Source organism: Homo sapiens, chromosome 14 (genome assembly GCF_000001405.40).
Source record: "Homo sapiens chromosome 14, GRCh38.p14 Primary Assembly".
In the NCBI taxonomy this organism is placed as follows: domain Eukaryota; kingdom Metazoa; phylum Chordata; class Mammalia; order Primates; family Hominidae; genus Homo; species Homo sapiens.
The window spans coordinates 30,605,164-30,627,871 of NC_000014.9; the positions used below are offsets into that span (position 1 = coordinate 30,605,164).

The window sequence follows — 22,708 nt, forward strand, 5'->3', positions numbered from 1 at the left end:
GGGATTACAGGTGTGAGCCACCGCGCCTGGCCTGAGATTCTGATTCTTAAACCGGAATTCACTGGTTGGTCAAATTTGAGATAATTATCTATCAACTTTCTTGTACATGATTCTAATTTGGTAAAAGATTGGGGTGAGGAATCAAGAATTTAAAACTAAGATTATCAAATAACTGTTTTTGGTTCTAGTAGCAGCCATTGTTACAATTTTGGGTGGGAATTGGGGAAGAATATCCTATTAATCTTTTTTTCCCCTCGTCTTGTTTTATTGGCTATATAACTGCTGTTTCACATAAAGTACTTTAAAGTACTTATCTCTATATTTAAATTCATGTTTTATAGGCAAGGCAGCAAATTTAGAAGAAATGTATCAACACTATTAATAGAGTTAGGATTCCAAATTAAAAAAAAAACTAAAAGATTGTATATCAACAAAGCCAATATCTGGAATAGTGCCTTAGATGCATTCAGAAATCGAAACTTTAATCCTTCATATGCAATTGAAGTAGCATATGTTATTGAAAATGATAATTTTGGAAGTGAGCATCCTGGATCAAAGCAAGAATTTCTGAGTCTCTTAATGCAACATCTTGAGAACTCATCATTGTTTGAAGGGTCCTTGTCAAAGAACTTGTCTCTAAATTCTCAAGGTAATTATTTTATTTATTGTTGTATATACCAAATATCACATGTATAGAAAAAGAGATAGATAGCTGGTTAGAATTGATATTTAATACCTGTGCTCTAAATATACTGTTCACTTTGTTAATAAACTACTGATAGAATCACAGGAAAGTGGGAAGGGGGAGTGATAGTTTAAAAAGTAAATTTTGTGGTGAAACATTTTTTATTTAAGAATATACATTCTTTATAGCAATATTCTCCTTAAAATAATCCATAATTAAGTGTAACTTTATCTTAACTCTAATTTCATTTTAATAGAGTGGCCAAATGGGGATGATTATTTGAATTCTTCCTGTTTGTATATTTGGAATTTGCGGTTAACATAGAGTTTTTATAACATAGTTTCCTGGTCCACATGTAACCAATTTTTCAGTATACTTTTGTTTGCAATATTTTTTTTTTTGCACAATTATGTATATGATGGTTTTCTGTCTTCACTATTGGTGAGAACTTAAGGTAATTATAACAGGCATCTCAAAACAGTGGGTAATTCTGGCATTCTCTTTTAGGGGCTTTTATACTACTTTTGCTGTAATAGGAAATTTGAAAGAAAATGAGAAGGCATTTCATTTCATTTGAATTTCCTACTATATTTTCTGTAAACATCCTAACCATTGCCTAAAGCATCATTTTTACTCTGTATAGTTCACACAGTTTAATTATAAACTCCCTTTAAAATAAAATGTAAAAATAAAGAAAAAACTTTCCAAATAGTAATGTTAACTCAAGGCAGCTTTGGTATGGTGGAGAGTACGTGAATTTAAATCACAGAATCTGAATTCAAGTTTGTACACATCTAGTTCTTTACATCCTTAATTACTTACTCTCTCTGGATCTCAGTTTCTTCATCTGTAAAATGTGACTATGAATATGTAGCTTGTAAGGTTATTACACAGGTATTGTTAATGTCACTTATTAATAAGTTGCTTTCAACAATTTAAAAATTAAGGAAAAATTTACTTGTTTTGGCACATCAAAGTTGCTAATACATTTGAAATGACAATTTTAATTCAAGCTCTGACAGTAAGGTAAGACAGCATATACTGTTGGGAGTAAACTTGTGCCTTTGGGAAAGATTATTTAGTGATATAGATCAAGAACCTTAAAAATGTTCCTATCCTTTGACCTACTAATACCATCTGTAGGAATCCTAATCAAATAAATATAAACAAGAATATGTGAGTATGTTGACTGTAACATTATGTCTCATAAAGTTAGAAATATCACTTAGCCAGGATAGCCAGGGGGATGGTTTGCATTATAGTACATCTCTAAGTTAGTCTAAATGCATTTATTAACTGTAGATTTGAGTAATTTTGAGTAGTATGATAAAAAGTTTACAATATAATAAGTGGATAAAGCATAAGTCAAACTTTTTATATTTATATACACAAAGAGGTACAAGTACAGTCATTTGTCACTTAGTAACAGGGATATGTTCTGAGAAATGTGTCAGTAGGCAATTTCATCATGCAAAGATCATAAAGTATACTTACGCAAACCTAGTTGGTGTAGCCTACTACACACCAAGGCTCTATGGTAAAGCCTATTGGTTCTAGACTGCAAACCTGTATAACATGTTACTGTACTGAATACTGTAGACAATTGTAACACAATGGTAAGTATATGTATATCTAAATATACAAAAGGTAATGCATTGTGCTATGACAGTATAACATCACTAGGTCATAGGAGTTTTTCAGCTTCATTATAATCTTAGGGACCACCTTAGTGTATTTGGTCATTCTTGACCACAACATCCTTATATGGTGCATGACTGTACACCAAAGTGTTCACAGTGGTTATTATGGTGGTAGGTTTATTGTGTTTTATGTTTTCTACAATAGATTTTTACTTTATATTCAGAAAAATGTGTCTTTTTTTATATTTTAGGTAAGATCTATATTTTCTACATAATGATAGCTTCTAAGAATTATATTTATCTAATGCTTAGATTTTTGGACTAATTTTTAATATAAAAAATGATGGTTATCTTATAATAATAGAAGTGTATTTGATATATTTTCATCTGTATTTACAGCTCTGAAAGAGAATCTTTACTATGAAGCTGGCAAAATGCTTGCCATTTCTTTAGTTCACGGTGGTCCTTCACCTGGTTTCTTTTCTAAAACCTTGTTTAACTGCCTTGTTTATGGACCAGAAAATACCCAGCCAATTTTAGATGATGTTTCAGACTTTGATGTGGCACAGATTATAATCAGGGTAAGCAATGTATCTGTTTATTAAAATGCACACTACATTCTAGGTATCTTTTAATGTAAATGACTGATCTGCAATAAAATAATAGTATTATCTATGAAGGAGTTAGGGATTGTAAACATATATTTCTGTTTACCAGTGGAGTTCTGAACCAGTTAAAAGATAGTTTTAAAAGTCAGATGGCTGGAGATTAAAGTGCCACGTTTAATGTTGGTAAAACCAGTTGGATAATGTGATTTTGGTCTGTGTTCACCATGGCTTGTGAATACTCCTCAGAAATACATGGATTTGCCTGCCTTGCTAGAGACAACGTGAGGCAGATTCCCTATTGCAAGCTAGAAAGCAGATGAAAGTGCACTTTGATGGAGGCCGATGGGTCTGAAGAGAGGAAGGATTTGGCTTACCAGTTAGAATACTTTTCCTTCCTTCTATAGGGAGGTATGAATGATAGATGGAGAGAAAGACTAGGCTGAATTTCTTCCAAAGGGAAACAAGTGGTAGGGATCGGGGAGGACTTAATGCGTCCGCCTAAAAATAGTTCATTTATTCAGCACTTATAATGGGACCTGTACTAAACATGTCACATGTGCAAACACTCATTTATCATAATGCCATATAAGTGTCATTGCCAACATGTTACTGCTTTAAAAACTGAGACAATGCAAGCCATTTAACTTTTCTTCCTTAACCTCCCTCCTACTTAAGCATATTCTATCCATTGTCTCAATTAACAGGCAGTGTTGTTTAATGATTAAAAGCATAGGCCTTAGCCAGGCGTGGTGGCATGTGCCTGTAATCCCAGCTACTCTGGAGGCTGAGTCACAAGAATAATTTGAATCCGGCAGATGGAGGTTACAGTGAGCTGAGCTCACACCACTGCACTCCAACCTGGGCAACAGAGGGAGACACTGTCTCAAAAAAAAAGCACAGGCTTGGAAGTCAGATTTTACTTTGAATGCCAACTCTTATAACTACTATATGTTGTGTCACTTTGGGCATATTAATCTTACTAAACCTCAGTTTCTAAATCACACAGTAAGCACTATTGAAGTGTGAGTTGCTACAGTGTATTACAACAATTCTGTTTATTTGCCCTAAGACTGCTTATCCTAACATCATGTTTTAAATTGACCCTTTAATTCTTCGTTTTTCTTTTTGTGCCCTCTTTACTAAAAAAAAAGTATATTTAAGCTTCATTGTCTCTACTTCGTATTTCCTATTTATTTCTTGTAATCAGGCTTCTGTCCCTACCACCAGTCTCAAGTTAGCTAGTTCATAGTTTATATCCAGGGAGCTAAATATCCATGTCCAAAGGCCTTTTCTAATTTTTCATCTGCTGTGACTTCTGCAATTACCACTTAGAATTTCTCTGCAATATTTTATTTAATATTGTACTTCCTCCTACTTCTGATGATTCTCTCTTCTTTAATGCTTCTTACTTCTTCTTACCCCTGAAACTTAGCATTTTTCAGTGTTGTCTTAACAGTCATCATTCTTTATTATTTGGAGAGCTTCTTCTCTCCTGTAATCTTTCTGAATGATTTACAGACCTGTATTTTTGAGCCCCCGGACTTTTATATACAGATAAGACCTGGGTCTTGCTAGCACATTGAGTCTAACATGTTTAAGATAAAAATAGTATTTTTCCCAGAATTTTTTGTTTGATTGTTTTTTGTGGGGCTTTTTTGTGTTTTTACCTGTTTGCCTTTTCTTTCCAAGAGACTTCTTACTTCCAAGCTGTCTTGGAGAGTCATTTTCATACTCCTCCATTTTCCAGTTATATGTCAAGTCACCTGCCTCTAAGACTGACTTATTGTCAACCTTTCCTTCCTGTTTCTAGTGTGCCTATTTTACCAAACTCAAATTTTCCCTAGGCTTAGACAATTAGAATGTTGTTCTAATATTCTTATTTGGGATGATTCTTCCAAAAGTACAGTTTTGACCATATTGCTTTCTTCCTCAGGAATCCCCCAGTGGCTTCTCATTGCCTGTTGAACGAAGTTGAAGCTCTTCATTAGGGCATTTAAGACCTTCACCTCTCTTCATGGCTTTATCTACTCCAGTTTCTGTACTTTTTATCCAGTGTTTGTTCATTTATTTAAGAAATACTATGTATTCTGTACTGTTTTGTTACTAAAGATAGAGTAGTGAAGCAAAGTATCTGCCTTCTTGGAATTTACATTAAGAGAGAACACAGAAGATAAACAACAAATGTAATATGCCATCACGTAGTAAAATGTATTATAATGCTAAATAAAACAGAATATGGCCGGGCGCAGTGGGTCACGCCTGTAATCCCAACACTTTGGGAGAACAGGTGGGTGGATCACCGGGGTCAGCAGTTCGAGACCAGCCTGGCCAACATGGTGAAACCCCATCTTTACTAAAAATACAAAAAAATTAGCCAGGTGTGGTGGCGCGCGCCTATAGTCCCAGCTGCTTGAAAGGCTCGCTTGAGCCCGGGAGGCAGAGGTGGCAGTGAGCCGGGATCATGCCACTGCACTCCAGCATGGGCAACAGAGTGAGACTCCATCCCAAATAAATAAATGTATACATAAATACATACATGCATACATACAACAGAATAAAAGGAGATGGATAAGGGTTGGAGTATATACAAGTTAGGTTTTAGGCTAAACTTCTGTATCTCATAGACCCAGAAAGACAGTGGCTCAAACAAGGCAGATGTTTACTGTTCTGTAAAATCCATTGTCTAGATTTTAGGGTAAGAGTTGGCAAAAAATGGCCTGTAAGTCACGTTCTGGCTTGTTGCCTGTTTGGTAAATAGTTACATTGGAATGCAGCCATGCCCATTTGCTACTGATCTGACTGCTTTCACGCTACAGTGGCAGAGTTGAGTAGCTGCAACAGATACCATATAGTTTGAAAAGCATAAAATGCTATCTGGCCCTTTATACAGATGGCCCTCTGTTTTCGAGATAGAGTTGTGATTTACAAAACCGTCTAAGGACTTGAGTTCCTTCCTCTCATTATCGTGTAACACTTAGCATTATTGTTTGCATCCACATGGTTGAAGCTTGCTCTTAAAGGAGAAAAGTGGAAGTTGAGAGCAGGGAAGTTTGACATGTTGTTTTTACTTACATCCCATTGAACAGTCATGTAGCCCCACCTAGCTGCAGCAAAAGTTTGGCTATGTGCCCAGCTGAAACTCAGGGTTGAGGGTTTGCAGGGATGAGGCAACATATACCCAATTATTACTCCGACAGGGTGTAAAGATAGTATTTTGAGCAGAATAGTCATGAAAAACTTAGGAGATTTCAGCAGAGATTTTGAATGAATGAAAAGAAGTCATGTAAATCTCTAAGAATGTTTTAGGAAAAGGAAATTGCAAGTAAATTTTCTGTTAATGGATTGTTTCCTATTTTTAACTTTCTCCATCTGTACCTTTAAGAGCTAACCTGTATGAAAGTGTCTTGCACATAAATGGCCAAGTATTTCTTTGTTTATGCTGTTCACTAAAATATTCTTGATAAAATTCTGTCCATCTTTTAATTCTCAGCTGTTACTCTTTTTCATGAATTCTCAGGTCATCTTTCTTGCCTATCTAGTACTAGGTAACTTTTCTCTTTTTTTTTCTTTTCTTTTTAAGAGATAAGGTCTCAGTCTGTCACCCAGGCTGGAGTACATTGGTGTGATCATAGCTCACTGAACCTCCAACTCCTGGGCTCAAAATCCTTCTACCTCATCTTCCAGAGTAGCTAGGACTACAGGTGTATACCACCCACACCAGGCCTTTTTTTTTTTTCTTTAGAGGGGGGCTAGCTGTGTTGCCCAGGATGTTCTTGAACTTCTGGCCTCAAGCAGGCCTCCCACCTCAGCCTCCCTAGTAGCTAGTCTTACCTAGTGCTATATAATTTTTCAATGTCAGTTATTTCCTTTTTTATAAATAGTTTCACGTAGTAAAGTGGCATTATACTCTGGATTTCTTGAAGGCAGAAATAGACAAATTTGTTGAACTGGATGATCAGACATTTATTCTAGAAGAATATTTCTTGGTTTACTTTTACTGCACCCATATGTACTAAGAAATTTGAGTATAAATTAACAAGTATCATTTGAAATGTGCATGTCACTCAAAAGTAAATGAGTAAAGTGGCTGTATTTTCTCCTTCATTACAGATAAATACTGCAACAACTGTAGCTGACTTAAAGTCAATAATAAATGAATGCTATAACTACCTTGAGTTAATTGGATGTCTCAGACTTATAACGACATTAAGTGATAAATATATGTTAGTAAAAGACATACTTGGCTACCATGTAATTCAGAGAGTCCACACACCCTTTGAAAGGTAAGTTGTTTCTATTAATATATGGCTCTTTCAAATTACATGTTTAAAGTGGTTAATTATCTTGTAATGTGAGATATATTTGGTAATAAGTGAGATGTTTTTCTCAGAAAAAAATTTAAATGCTATTTTTAAATAATAACTTAAGCCTTTTTAGGATGGTTACTGTTCTGATCATTTAATAAGCATTGTGTAGGTCGGGCATGGTGGCTCACTCACACCTGTAATCCCAGCACTTCGGGAGGCTGGGGCAGGCAGATCATTTGAGGTCAGGAGTTTGAGACCAGCCTGACCAACATGGTGAAACCCCGTCTGTACTAAAATACAAAAATTAGCCGGGCGTGGTGGTGGGTTCCTGTAATCTCAGCTACTTGGGAGGCTGAGGCAGGAGAATTGCTTGAACCCAAGAGGCGGAGGTTGCAGTGAGCTAAGATCATGCCACTGCACTCCAGCCTGGGTGACAGAGCAAGATTCCCTCTCAAAAAAATGAAAAAAGAATTGTGTAAATGTATGATGCTTTCATAGAAATAACCACTGCTTCAGATTATAATTTTTTTCTAAAAAATATTCTTTTTAAAACTCTTACCACATGAGCCAACTATTCTGTCTCTGTGCATTCATTTAATAACTATTTATTGAGTACCTTTTATCTGCTGGGTAATACATATATTGACCGTTCTTTGATTAACAAGGTATGTATGATTCCTGCTGTCCTTTAGTTTAGAACACTGGTCTAAGTTAGACAACTTATGTATCTCCTTACACTCTTACAATTTTTTTAAACAATGGAAATACACATATGAAAGTCTGTAATCACCATCCAGATCTAACACTTATTAACTTGTGCCTGTCTTGTTCATCTTTATCCTACCCTTGTTATTGACTCCAGTATTATTTTAAAGCCAATACCAGATATCATCTCAAACCTGATAAATTCATTTAAAAAAAAGTAGTATCATTAATCCATAGATTTAAATATATTTGATGTGTTTAAAATCTTTATAGTTACTATTACTACTGAAGTTTATATGTCTTGGACCAGTATAAGTCTCTTTATATTATTGTTTTTAATTCTTTCGATGTGAGCCTTAATGGTCTTTGTAAGCTTTTTTGCTATATGGTATCACAAGGTGTTTCAGACTCATTTTGTACATTTTAGCCTAAGGAACCTTTGTTATTTTTAATGGGAAATGGGTAATTCACAACCACAGTCTGGATGCTAGAGATTCTTAGTTTTGGTGGGTTGGTCATGGTATCTAGACCTTTTCATTGAACCCAAATTAGAAAATCAAGGGTTTTTAAATCTATTTTAATCTATTTTGTTTTTTTTTTTAAAATCAAACTTTTTTTTAAAGATACATTATGAGTGTGTCCTGATAATTCTAATTCAGATTCTCTATTGCATGATTTTTACTTAACATTTTCTTTGTCCTGTGTTGAGAATTCCAGTTCTTAATGACACTGGAGAATTTAAGTATGAAGCAACTATTTCATGTGATTTATTCCACATTTCATAACCAATAGTCTCAGAATAACAATACTAACATTATCAAATTGTTGTGCTTATAAGTCATTGGAATATTTTATGTGTGGCTAAAAATTGAGCATAAATTGCATTTTCATTTTTTATTTTTAGTGATTAGTTTTTATTAACATTTCATTTTATTTTAAAATTATATAAAATGTTTTATATAGTTCCAAAGTCAAATGTATAATAAGAATATATTGAAAGTATATACAAAGAAGTATAGGTTTCATCCTTACTATGTCCACCATTCAACCCTTTATGAAGTAACCATTTTGGCAACTTTTTTGTGGTTTATTCTTTTATTATTTGTTTTTCTTTTTAATGATAACAGATAAACATGTGTGTTCTTAGCTCATTTTATGCTGCTATAACAATACCTGAGACTTGGTAATTTATAAAGAAAAGAAATTTATTTCTCACAGTTCTGGAGGCTGGGAAGTCCAAAGGCATAGTGCCAGTATCTGCTCAGCATCTGGTGAGAGCTGTCTTGCTGTGTCATAGCATTGTGGAAGAGCAAGTGAGCACTCAACCCATAGGTGTGCCCTCGAAATCAGGCTGAACTTACCCTTTTTATCAGGAGCTCACTCCCACAATAATGATATTAATCCATTTATGAGGGCGGAGCCCTTGTGACCTACTCACCTCTTAAGGACCCTATCTCCCATTGCTGTTATACTGGCCATTAAATTTCAACATGAGTTTCGAAGGAACTCATTTGAAACCATAACATTCTGCTCCTGGCACTCTAAAACTCACGTCCCACTCACATACAAAAGAGTATCTGAGGAGGTGAATAGGAAATTTAGAAAGTCAGGCAAAAATGATATGTTTGTTCTTTGCTTATTAATGAAAATGTGCATTTTAAAATATTCAGTTGTTACTTGCATTTCTTTTGTTAATCATATATTTTTTGTTCATTTTCCCTATTGATCTTTCAGAAGAATTTGTATTCTTTGCATAAAATTAATTTTCTGTCATATAAAATATCTGTCATTTGCTTTATCTTAATTTCTTTTTAGCAATACATGGGTTTTAAATTTTTATGTAATGAAGATTTATCACTCTTGGTAATATCTGGGAAACTTTATTTTTATAATAATTAGCTTTGAAGTGTAAAACACTTCAGATTTTGATGTCTTTCTTACTAATAAAAACTTGTTAGTTTTGAAACTATAAAGCCAAATAATGTAGGTACATAAAATATTCATTTGATATTAATGTATTTGCTTGTTATGGATTTGAAAGTATCATGTGTAGTATATCCATATCTTCTCTTTTTCCTCACATCTGAAAATATGATTGTCTCTTGTGGGGGTTTTTTGGTTGTTTTTTAAAAATCATTAGCTGTTTTGAAAACATGCCAGATAAAATGCTGGAAATATTCCCTAATATAATACCAAACACACATGTATGAATGTTGGCTCATTATTTTTCTTCTCTTAAGTTTTAAGCAGGGTCTGAAAACCCTTGGTGTTTTGGAGAAAATTCAGGCTTATCCAGAAGCATTTTGTAGCATCCTGTGTCATAAACCTGAGAGTCTTTCTGCAAAAATCCTTAGTGAGCTTTTTACAGTACACACATTACCTGATGTGAAAGCTTTGGGGTTTTGGAACAGTTACTTACAGGCTGTTGAAGGTATGTGGATATTTTATTTTACTTTTAACGATCTCAGAATATTTGTTTCAGCATATTTGTTGGGGGTTTTATTTGTGTATGTTTTGCCTTTTGGTATTAATATTAAGATGCTAACTCCGTATTTACAAAAGAAAGTTATTTCAAAGCAAGTTTATATGACTGAATTAAAAATAATGAGAAAAGATTACAGAGTAAATTTATATTTTGTAATTTTTTTCTCTAGATAAGTTTAGGTGAAAGGCATTCTTTCTAGAAAACATTATTGTCACCGCATAGAACAGTTTTAATCCTAATAATCTATTTCATCATTTTCAATTTGAAGTTAAACTAAATTATTCTTCACCCACTGGTCAGGGCTATAACAATGATATTTATCATTGAGCATTAGCAGTGTAAAATCATTCTGCCTGATAGAGTGGAGAAGAATTTAACTTATAGTTGAAATTTTGTTTAGCTAGATTTTTGGTTTTTTACCGTTTAGTCTTTCTGTCTGTATTTGTTATATACAATAAGTAGTTGTACTAAATGATTGTATTAGTCCTTCTACTTTGAGATTCATTTATGTACTGTTTGCCTGTTACTACATCTGACTTTGTGATTTAGTTTGCCCAAAACAAATGTGGGAGTCTGTGCCTTTCAGTATTCCAAGTCTATTTGGAGAAGAATCTATGATGATAGCAATATATAACATGGATTTACTTTTGTTTCTTTTACTCTTTTATTGGTAAATTTTTTCAGATGGTAAATCTACAACAACAATGGAAGACATTCTTATTTTTGCAACTGGTTGCAGTTCCATTCCTCCAGCTGGATTTAAACCCACTCCTTCAATTGAGTGTCTGCATGTGGATTTTCCTGTTGGAAACAAGTGTAATAACTGTTTAGCAATTCCCATCACCAATACATATAAAGAGTTTCAAGAAAATATGGACTTCACCATAAGAAACACTCTAAGACTAGAAAAGGAAGAAAGTTCTCATTACATTGGACATTAAAATGTTTCCTTGAACAAAGAGAAGCTTCTTTAAAAGCTGCTATTGATAACTCTCTTTTATTTCACTAACCTTTTCATCATCACTTTGAACAAACTAGTTAGCTTCTTGACCTAATAAAATTTATGATATGAATATAAAGGAATATTATAGCCACTTAGGCTAAAAAAAGGTTTTTTTTGTTAAAGCATACTAGTCAAAATTGGTGATAATTTCTCATTTTCTTGATATAGATACTTCATAAACCTCAATATAAATACTCTCAAAATGGTTGTATGGATTTTATTTAGGTATGGTAGCATGGTTAATAAAAGTAAAAACTGTTTTACTCACATTTTTTGTAAATTAGGATTACATATAGAATGCCACAATTTCTCTAGGTTTATTCAATTTTCAAATTATTCCTCATTTTATTTTAAAGCATTAAATAGAAAAGCTAATTGGTTAAATTTTGTTATATAAATCAGAGTCATATATTCTGGGATTTGTGTTACTATGCATACTTTTCTAGGATGTCACCAAATTAGTTGTTTAAAATGTTTTTAGATTACTGATTTATATTAAGATGACCCACACTGCAATTAGATTATGCCTAGTGGGAAGTATTATATAAAAAGCAGAATTAAGCTGGGCACATGTGCTTGTAATCTCAGTTATAAGGGAGGCTGAGGTGGGAGAATCGAGATACTCAGCCAGCCTGGCAATGTAGCAAAGACTCCATCTCAAAAAAAAAAACAGAATTGCACAAATTTTCTGGAATCTATGGACATTCCATGAGCTTAAACACTTTTGAGGTGGATAACATTTAGTTGAAAATACCTAAGAAAGTGTGTCTTCTTTAAAGCCTTGGCTTTAATCATGGGAAATTGTTGTTGTTGTTGTTGTTGTTTGTATCCTATGTTTGGTATTCTGTATGTCTGATCCATAATCATTTTAGATATTTGAATGATCTCTGTGGATTGGTAGGTTTGGCCATTTGACCATTATTTATTATCAAGTTGGTTGTATGCTAAGGTAAGTTGACGCCATAGCATTATACAGTTATCTTCATTGCTCTTGAATGATATCTGTTATATAAGCAATGTATAAATAAAGTAAAAAGGATAGAATGAAAAACCCATTCTAATGTCACCACTCAGAGATAAGTACCGTATTTCTGTGTATCCTTCTATAAACTCTTTACTTCTGTTTCCTTTATTTTTTAACTTTAATAATGCTACTAAAAGACAATACCTAAAAGTAACTGTACTAACAAAGTGCTAACAATGTGAAAATATATAGTCCCATAGTCATGTCCCCATATTTATACTCCCACAGAAGAAAAAATTGGAAAACAAAGTCTGATGTCCTTAATCTATTAACATATTTAAATGATATAATGGTTCAGTTTTCCATGAAAGTAAATCATTATGGGAAGTAAAATGTTTTAACCATATTTTTCTTAATACACAAAGCAGGTGTCAGCTGTTGTATTCTCACCCTTCTTAAGAAAAATCATTACATTATTGATATTTTTTAAGTAACAGAATAGATTTGAAAGAGATAATATATCTCTTAATACCAAAGGAAAACTAAAACATAATTCTAGTGTACTTTTCTTTGTTCCCTCATGTCTTTTTCAATCTGTACACTAACATACCTAGCAAATTTGTTTTACTTTAACTTGAAATATTTAAGAACATTAAACAAGACATTTCTTTGGCTTTGGTTGAATTTTTTTGTCTCACCAATAGTAATTGAAAGATCAATTATCAAAGAGTTTGAATAGCTAATATAAACCCCAAAGTCACCATACAGTTTTTATTCCAAATATGTTGATAAAAAGATATTTGTTTCTTTATCCACCTTATTTTTATTACAGCTAAAAACCAATACAAACCAATAAAACCTAGTTAAAGCTATTTTCTGGTTTTTAGTTGCAATTAATTTCCCCTAGGGTAGAAATTAAAGCTGATTAAGTCACACACACATACTTTGTTGGGGTGGGGGTGGCAGGTGGAGAGGCAGTGTACTTGGGTTAGCTACAATTAAAAACAGTATTTCAATTCCTCATTTGACTTATTTTATATATAGACAGGGCCTTAGTGATAAGATGGTGTAAATAATTTAGGATATTCATGTTTTAAAGTGAAGCATAAATATTTATTTTGCAAAATGTTTTCTAGTTTGAAGGATGTTCCATTATTACCATTTTTAGATTAATCTGTATGGTCAAGGAATATCAGAGAAACCTGTAGGTTATTTATTTTCTGCAGTGTCATTTTGTCAAATGGTTGGTATTATAATTGTTCTTTTCTTATTAATTTTATAACCAGTGCATAATTCTTACATTAGATTTTAAAAAAGAATTATGCTATAAATCTTTATAAATGTGTACATATATTTCTTAAATATTGCAATTGCCTAAATGTTGTATATTTTAAGGCTGTTTTCTCTTGCTCTTAATGTTGAGGAAAACTATAAATTGATCTATAATGCATCTACTGTTAATGGTTTTGGTTAGTTTGATATTCATTGTTTTTAAACACTTTCCAATATGGAAACTTTAACACCTTTTATACAATTCTCTACTATTCAAGATATTCTTTAAAATATCTCACCAGAAACTTACAATTTTATACTTTGTAATTTTTAGTTTCTGTAATTTGAGGAAGTGACTTTTTTTGTTTGGGTTAAGTAAAAAGCCTTTGATTGATTACCAGCATGAGAATTCACCTTGGTTTCTATTTTATGCATTTGTAAATTTTTCCCCTAATTATATGGAAGCTATTGGAACTTTTGTATTCAGTGCTAAATACTAAGTCAAGGGGAGTATATTAGGTAAGTTTTTTCAGTGACTGTGCCTTTAGCATTCAGTCATTATAAGAAAATGATCAGAACAAAATCATTACATTATAAACATGTAATTCTTTTATATAGTGATTATCATGTACTGCATTGTTACTTTAAAATAAGCTATTAAACTAGTTTTTATGGTTCAAGTAATGCAATACAAAGTTTCATGCTTCAAGTAATGCAATACAAAACATAACCCATTTAATGATGAATTACTTGAATGTATATTATCTGTGGTTTAGGAAAATTTGGATTGTCTTGAAGAGACTCAGTTTTCAAGTTCTGATTTTGACCATTATCTCTTCTAATTCATAAACATATCCCAGTACCTACACTATGCCAGGTATTATGCTAGGTGATCGTTTATATGTCAGCCTATTTCCCCCCCTTTTAAAGACTGCCAGATTAACCAAAAAGCGTGACATTTATAACAATGTTTTATAAATAAATAAATGTGTTTATGCCACTAAAGGTAAACTGCCTATTTAAACTAAGTAATTTTTTGGGATTTAATAAGATTAAGATTCTGACGAAACTGAAAGATACAAGATTCCTTTACTCTCCACATTTGAGAGATCCTATAAGCAAGCAGTTAGTGTCTGACACCCAGGAACCTATAGAAATGAGGGAATCTGTGTTAAAACTATGTATCCTCTAATGTAAAATAGCTTACCAGAATAAATTATTTAAGCCAAAAATCTGGACTCAGATAAATGGCTATAGTAAATTAGGTTAATGAACAATCTGTAGCCATAGATTATTTTCAGTCTTTCTGATTCTAATAAAACAAATACCTTATTCAGTCTCAGCCTTACAAGGGCTATTTGTCTATGGTTGCTGTTCTTCTGTGAGGTGTATTTTTCTATAAATTTATTGCCCACATTCTGTGCACTTGGTCAGGAGTTTTTATCATTTCATATATATGCAGTGTACATCAATTTTAAAATTGTCTTCGTGGTTTTAACATGACTCATAGTCTTGGGAGAGAATCTGTGATGGAACTGAAGTGGCTCAATGATGGATTTGCATTTGAAAGTGGAAGTACCCAAATGAGCAAAATTGGGCTCTCAGACATTTTATATTTCATAGAGACTGTAGAATGCAGTAGAACTTTCCCATAGGGCAGAAATAATTTGTTTAGTTGGAACACACCTAGATCATTGAAGATTCCTTCAAAATATTAGTAATAGTACTGAAGACACACATGTATTCCAGTTAATTTCTTAATGAATGTGCCAATTAGCTATAAAAATGAGATTACATAATTTTTTTTTCTTTTTTGAGACAGAATCTCACTCAGTCACCCAGGCTGGAGTGCAGTGGCGCGATCTCTGCTCACTGCATCCTCCGCCTCCCAGGTTCAAGCAGTTCTTCCTGCCTCAGCCTCCCCAGTAGCTGGGATTAAAGGCGCCCACCACCACACCCGGCTAATTTTGTATTTTTAGTAGAGACCGGGTTTCACCATGTTGGCCAGGCTGGTCTCGAACTACTGACGTCAGGTGATCTGCCCACCTCTACCTCCCAAAGTGCTGGGATTACAGGCGTGAGCCACCGCACCCGGCAGAGATTATGTAATAAGATAACCTGTTTTAAATGTCACAAAAATAAATTTTTATTAATGAAAAAAGCCAGTGTTTCACACTATAAAACAATATATAATCGTTAGGCTAACCATTTCATTTATATAATTGTGAAAGTTAAGCTTTTGAGGTACAGAGTGATTTCATTTCAGAATTTGGTGCAACTTCATAATGAAGCGTCATCAATGAACTCGGGAAATGAGGTGTCATTGTGTATCCATTTTGGTCATACAGTAAAATCTATGGATTAAGTTAGAAATCATCTATCCCATATATTTTGCGGTCACGTGGCTTCAAGTGTACATTAAACCGCCAGCACAAGACCAGCCTGGCCAACATGGTGAATCCCCGTCTCTACAAAAAAAAAAAAAAAAAATTTAGCCGGGCGTGGTGACCCCTGCCTATAGTCCCAACTAGTGGGCAGTCTGAGGTGGAAGGATAGTTTGGGAGGATCGCTTGAGTCCGGGAGGTCGAGACTACAGTGAGCCGAGATTCTGCCACTGCACTCCAGCCTGAGCGACAGACAGTGAGATACTATCTCAAAAACAAAACAACAACAAAAACCAGCACATCAGCCTGGCCTGATGGTGTGCCCCTGTAGTCCCTAGCTACTTGGGAGACTGAAGCAGGAGGATCGTTTGACCGTCAGAATTTGAGGCTGCAGTGATCCCTGATTGCGCGCTCCAGCCTAGGCAACACACCCCACTACTGCTTGACTTCCTTCCCACGGCAAGGTGATTTTGCAATTACTACAAGGAAAGAGGAGAAATGCTAATTTCTCATTTTGTACCTCCCTGGATCCCGTGTCCATGCCGGCAGAACGCCACCATAAAGCTACACCTTTTTTTTTAAAGAGATGCGACTGAGAAATATGCCAGATCAGAGTAATGCTCCAATGCTTTCCGTTTCTCTGGAGAAAGGAGCAAAGGGAAGACTCCTGCTGCACTGAGAAACGAGAGCTAACGTTAAAATGTTGCCTGTGTTTCAGGAGCTTCATTTACTTCAGTCCTGTGGTCCTTATACTCCTAGAGCATTATCACCCTTTAAGTGCTCTGTAAGTCACCAAACCAACAGTTCAGTAATTAGGTTCTTAGCACTACACGCTCCTACCCTAACAGCTCAATTTAATGTTGCTACCATTTGAGAGAGTGTGGCTTGATTCGGTAGGATAAAAACTCTTAGTATTCGCCTAACATTACGGGCCACTGAATTAACCTGCACCGGGTCTCCCAGTTCTACCGAGAGTGGAGGTCTTCCTGGAGGAGGTGGGGTCCGGAACTCAGGCACACCCTTTGGCCCCGCCCTTCCGGGCTTTGCTTCCGGGGCGGTAAGGGCAGCCACGTCATCCCCCCGCTCCGCTCCCCAGCCGGGCAGTGGCTCGTGGGAGCCAAGATGGCGGCGGCGGCGGCAGCGACAGCAGCAGCAGCAGCCAGTATTCGGGAAAGGCAGACAGGTACTGACTTATTCTCTTCTCCTTGAAGCTTCGTGACTGCCCCGACGACATCCTTCTCCTCTGGTGCGTGCAGCTCAGAGACCGATCTCCAGGAGTTTAATCCAGTCCCTAGAACATCAAGAGCCCCTCCCCTTTGAGTTTTTGGGGAGAAGTTGCCATTAGCTTGAGGACTCGGTTCCTCCTGTGGTGCAGGAGAAGGAGCTTCAGCGGTGGGCGGATTGCTACGGCCCTGCTCTTGTCTCCTTCCTAGTGGGCATCAGAAGGCCATCACAACAAGATCTAGCAGCTGATAGCTTCTTATCTATGTTGCCACCTATGAGGTCTCCGAGTTTCTGTGCGTGGTTCAGTTCTCCTGGTTTTGATTTTTAAGAGAACTCCCATTTTCTGACACTCAGAGAATTTAGGTATTTTCACAGCGGCTTGCTTTGCGCCACTTCTCTACTTCGGACCAGTCTTTTGGGGGTACCTGCAGAAAAATGCCTGGTGATAAACATTTTCTCCTTCAGCTTGCTGGAAGGCATTGAAGAATGGCAAAACAAATGAATTAATAGCTTTCTCATTTTAATTGTTTGACACATTGTTTTAAAATAATATTTTATCTTCAATAGAGCATGTTTATATAGCTTCTATTTATGCAGAGAAATGTAAAAAGGCACATATTCTTCTCTTGAGTTTTGGGTTTTTTTCCGTCTTAGAAATTAGTTTTGCCTTACTTGAAAACTTCTCATGACAACTTGGTTTATACCTGTTAGCTACAAACTAAAGGTTTATACTTGTTAACTAGTTGTCTTAAAAGTTTTCAAGCAATTTATTCTGAGGAGCTAATAGAAATAAGGCATCAAGAATGTGCATACTTGGAATTCTGTTTCCTGAAATTATGCTCTGTTGGATATAAATATGAATAGGAAAATAAATTTATAATTCATATGACCTACAGAAGGGATTTGGGCTGTACTTGATTCCTTCCTTTGGCATTTAAAGAAAAAGTGATAGACTTCAATTTAGTAATGACACACAAAAGATACTGAGTTGCGTTCTGCTTTTCCCAGTAAATAATTTAGTATAACCTATCAGGTGAAGTCAGGCATAACTAAATATAGGGAAGTTCAAATAAGATTTGGGGCATACCTGCCATTCGTTGTATATGTTTAAACAAATGGAAGCTCCATTTGTTTTAATACTGTGTTTCTGATGACTATACTACATATTAAAATAACGTGTCAGTAAAACTGTACCAATACAAGAGAGCTTTTTGAAAAATAAATTTGCGTGGCCGTAAACTTGTATGCAGAAATTTTGTAGATCATTAAAATCTAATCGTTTGTATTTCTGCAGAAATAAACATAGTAAGATTTTACAGAATTACTAGGTAGTGCTAGATCTATTTTTTATCAAATTTTTACTGTCATTGAATTCTGCCTTATTTTCAGAGGAAGGTAAATCCTTGTATATATATTATAATGCAGAATTAGCTATTTCCCTCATGCCTATGGAGAATGTTTTGGGAGATAACTCACAGTCCTTAAATATTCTAGATACTAGAATATTTGGGTGGATGAGATAATAGTTGGCATTTATTGAGCATTTACTATTGTTAGGCATTGCATTAGGTGATTATGTATTATCTCCATTTTACAGGTGAGGAAAGTAAGATAGAGGTAAACTAACGTGCCTGTTTCTTGCTTTGCCTGCCTGAAAAATCTTTATTGGTCTCCTGAAAAATCTTTATTGATCTTTTGAAGGTCATCCCACAAGCCATCTCCTTTCTTCCTGGTTCACTGTCCCCTCTATCCATACCTTCAGTTCAATAGGTAGAATCAGTTGCCTCCTGCTCCGTGTTACTGTTGTTCTTCATTGAATGCGTCTTCGTTACAGGTTCTTGCACATCTTCCCAGCTTCTCAACATTGCAGGGTCCCATTAGTGTTCTCATCTAGCGCCTTAGCTTTCAGTATTATCTGTATGTTGATGATTCCCAGGTTTATATCCCTAGTCTGGCCGTCCCATCTGAACTCAGTCTACTCCATATCAGTTAATGGCAGTTCCGTCCTTTTAGTTGTTCAGGTCAAAAACCTTGAAGTTTTCTTGACTTGTCTCTTTCATGTCTCATGTAAGATCTTTCAGTAAATCTTGTCAGTTCTACTCTGAAAATACATCCAGGATCTGACTGTTGTCATTGCTATTCCGAGGTCCTGTCCACCATGAATTTCTGCAGTAACCTATTTGGTCTCTTTGCTTTTACAATCCTGTTCTCCTTCATTATTTTTCACACAGTACCCAAACTGATCATGCCATATGTTTGCTCAAAATCTTCCAGCATCTTCCCATTTCAACCATGATAAAAGCCAAAGTGATCTTACAGTGTTCTACAAGGCTTTATACGATCTGGTTTCCATGTAGCTTTTGGACCTCACTCCCTATTTCTCTTCCCTCTCCTTGAACCCACCAGGAATGCTCCCACCTTCGAGCCTTTGTATTTGTTTCTTCTTTGTGGAGTACTGTTTCAGAGATAATCTCCATGGCTCACTCCCTCACTTCCTTTAGGTCTTTACTCAAATGTTACCTTCTCAGGAGGCTTTCCCCAATTATTCTGTTTAAAATTACACCTCAACTCCATCTTCCCCTTTCCCAATCTTACCTTTCTTCAAAGCACTTACCATGATCTACATACCATATGTTTTACTTTTTTTTTATTTTATTTTTTTTATCCCCCAATTAGAATGAAAGCTACTTGAGGACAGGCGATTTTATTCACTGTTTTGTTCAGTTGCTAGATCCCCAATAACTACAGTGCCTGTGGTGAGCACTCATCAAACGTGTTGAATGAATGAATAGTGTGTATGTAAGTAATGACATTAACCAAGTCTAGGAATATGGATACAGGTTGAGTATCCCTTATCCAAAATGCTTGCGACCAGGAGTGTTTTTGATTTTGGAATATTTGCATTATTACTGGTTGAGCATCCCAAATTTCAAAATCCGAGCACCAGCTTAAAAAATTTTGATTTTGGAGCATTTCAGGTTTCAGATATTAAGACTTGGGATGCTCAACCTGTAGTATATTTAGAGCCAATAAGAAAAATGGTTTGTCATTTCAGATAAAGTCATGGTTTAAGCCTTGGGTAAACTCTGATAAAAGTAAAATTACGTTCTTGTAAACTCTGAACACAGGCCGTGTACTCCATTAACAAATCCTTTTTGTTATAGGTATAGGTATACCTATATAGGTATAGGTATATAGGCATATAGGTATACCTATATAGGTATAGGTATATAGGCATATAGGTATACCTATATAGGTATAGGTATATAGGTATATAGGTATATAGGTATATCAATAGGTATATTGATATAGGTAAAAGGTATATCAAAATACCTTTTAATAAGTTAGCCAAGGCTCAAAGTTGGAGAAAATCTCAGACTGGGCTGAGAAGGCGAATGTAGGATTATCTTATTTGCTGCTGCTGGCCTCTTTCAGTTAGCTAAGGCCTAACTGTGCAGCATACTAAACACCTGAGGCTCACATGGCAGCTCAGGCTTTCGTTCTTCCAAGTTGTCAGGCTTCAAGAGTGTGAACAGCTGTTCCCAGAAACAGGGTTTCCTCCCTCTTGGGCGTGAGTGCCAGGGTGGTGGTGTCTTTATTGCCTGGAGGTGGAGGAAGAGCTCTGCAAATGCACAGTGGGAGAGTTAATCCTGAAACCCCCTCCGTGCTTCCTGTGTTATTTCAGTTTTAAGTGTTAAACTGTTTTTTTGTTTATATTAAATATATTTAATATTATAAATACATTAAATAAAATACATTTTTATTTAATGTAAAACCTGTGGGCCTCTGAAGTAGGTAATATTGGTAATGTGTATTTTTGGCTGGACATTAGGTAATAACATTTTACCAAAAATTATGTCTGTAGGTGTATGGTAAATACACCTGATAGCAATAACTTAAGCGTGCCCTGAGAATGACCCTGTATTGCAGACACACCTGGATATGTGTTTCAAGCTAGGGAATCAAAATGGCCCACCTGGAGATTCATTCCTTGTCTGTGAGGAACATCTGAGCCCCCAGCCCATCCAGTGAAACATAGGCCATGCAGTGGATCAAGGCCCCGAGTTTTGGGTTGAATGAAGGTTGCCAGGTGGAGGTTGTTAGGGAAATGTTAAGTGAAAATGCTGTATAAACCACATTTTTGCTATATAAACCACTTTTTGCATGCAGTTATGGTTCTCCTGCCCAGCGCATTGCCACTGAGTATACAGTTCTCCTGTCCAGCCCACTGTCACTGGACTCTCCTATGTGTGTTGCCCCCATTAAAACCCTGTGTCTCATTTCCTGGCTCCGGGTCTCTTCTTAGGCCTCTCAAACATGGGTATCTTCCCCACTGGAGGCAATAAGGGTTCGGCACAACAGTATGTACACACACATAAGTATGCAAATGTATCACTGAAGTACAATCTGTTCAGTAATAGCAGTTTTAACAGCATTATACCTACCTCAGCAAGCAAGCATTTAATAGAAGTTTTTCTTGTGAGTGAATGAATATGCTGTAAGTTGATATTCAGGTGATTTTAGTATTACATAGTTCTCTCGTAGGACTTTGGAGTATAGGTTATTCTGTATTACTTAAAGCCTGATGCAAATGTTTTTAACAATCAACCAAGTGGATTTTAAGGCTGTCAATTTTATAAAAATTAAATCAAGAAATTACAACTAGTATACTCTCTTGAATATTTGGCCATCTCAGTTTCACGAAGAAGTATATTAAGGGATTTTCATTTTCTGTAACACTGTTACAGATGAGTGATAAATAACACAAAATACTGTAACAGACCCGTAACTGTGATTTTTGATGTTGTATATTTGCTTAGCTGGAATTATCAGTTATCTACTATATGGGAAAGTCTGTTTTCCCAAGGGACATAGAATTTTAAGCAACTTTTCGGTGAATCTGACAGGATAAATTGTTTGTAAAATATACTCTTACATAACTATAGACAGATCTGTATGAAGGTTTTGTATATGAACCAATTGAATATGCCATGGATAATTTTGTTTTTAGAAAGACTGATCCAGGCCGGGCGTGGTGGCTCACGCCTGTAATCCCAGCACTTTGGGAGGCCAAGGCGGGTGGATCACCTGAGGTCGGGAGTTCTAGACCAGCCTGACCAACACGGAGAAACCTCATCTCTACTAGAAATACAAAATTAGCCGGGCATGGCAGCGCATGCCTGTAATCCCAGCTACTCGGGAGGCTGAAGCAGAACTGCTTGAACCTGGGAGGCAGAGGTTGTGGTGAGCCGAGATCACGCCATTGCACTCCAGCCTGGGCAACAAGAGCGAAACTCTGTCTCAGAAAAAAAAAAAAAAAAAAAAAAGAAAGACTGATCTTTCTCACTAGGCCACTCACACTTAAAAAAAAAAACAGACAGACAGACTGATCCTTCTCACTAGACCACTCAGACTTAAAAAAAAAAAAAAA

At 35.5% G+C, this 22,708-nt stretch overlaps 2 protein-coding genes across 24 annotated transcripts in view, besides 2 other annotated features; both read left to right on the forward strand.

Moving 5' to 3' along the window:
- G2E3 (G2/M-phase specific E3 ubiquitin protein ligase) overlaps nt 1-14,901 on the forward strand; it is a 60,907-nt gene extending 46,006 nt beyond the window's left edge. For 7 of the 10 annotated variants that reach the window (NM_017769.5, XM_011536926.3, NM_001308097.2 and 4 more), the window contains 5 exons: nt 342-649; nt 2,725-2,906; nt 7,044-7,216; nt 10,186-10,376; nt 11,115-14,901. In NM_017769.5, coding sequence (NP_060239.2) covers nt 342-649; nt 2,725-2,906; nt 7,044-7,216; nt 10,186-10,376; nt 11,115-11,371 — 1,111 coding nt within the window. In that variant the 3' untranslated portion in view covers nt 11,372-14,901. Of the gene's footprint in view, nt 1-341; nt 650-2,724; nt 2,907-7,043; nt 7,217-10,185; nt 10,377-11,114 lie in introns of those variants that run through there. The other 3 variants (XM_047431556.1, XM_047431557.1, XM_047431554.1) reach the window with 2 other exon arrangements.
- Nucleotides 16,490-17,689: an enhancer, noted in NCBI's record as "P300/CBP strongly-dependent group 1 enhancer chr14:31090859-31092058 (GRCh37/hg19 assembly coordinates)". NCBI's record gives its function as "activates an origin of replication core promoter dependent on BRD2, BRD4, P300/CBP, MED14 and CDK7 cofactors, with strong dependence on P300/CBP, by STARR-seq in HCT116 cells {active_cell/tissue: HCT116}" and the evidence as "EXISTENCE:reporter gene assay evidence [ECO:0000049][PMID:35650434]".
- Nucleotides 16,759-17,438: an enhancer, noted in NCBI's record as "active region_8225". NCBI's record gives its function as "activates an Ori minimal core promoter by ATAC-STARR-seq in GM12878 lymphoblastoid cells {active_cell/tissue: GM12878}" and the evidence as "EXISTENCE:reporter gene assay evidence [ECO:0000049][PMID:35858748]".
- The window catches only part of SCFD1 (sec1 family domain containing 1), a 113,597-nt gene continuing 107,979 nt past the window's right edge, over nt 17,091-22,708 (forward strand). For 11 of the 14 annotated variants that reach the window (XR_007063993.1, XR_007063994.1, XR_007063995.1 and 8 more), the window contains exon 1: nt 17,091-17,236. Coding sequence is in view for 3 of the 14 variants with exons in the window: in XM_047431165.1 (XP_047287121.1) it covers nt 17,176-17,236 (61 nt within the window). In the remaining 11 variants the exon portion in view is untranslated. Of the gene's footprint in view, nt 17,300-22,708 lie in introns of all 14 variants that reach the window. The other 3 variants (XM_005267469.3, NM_001257376.1, NM_016106.4) reach the window with 2 other exon arrangements.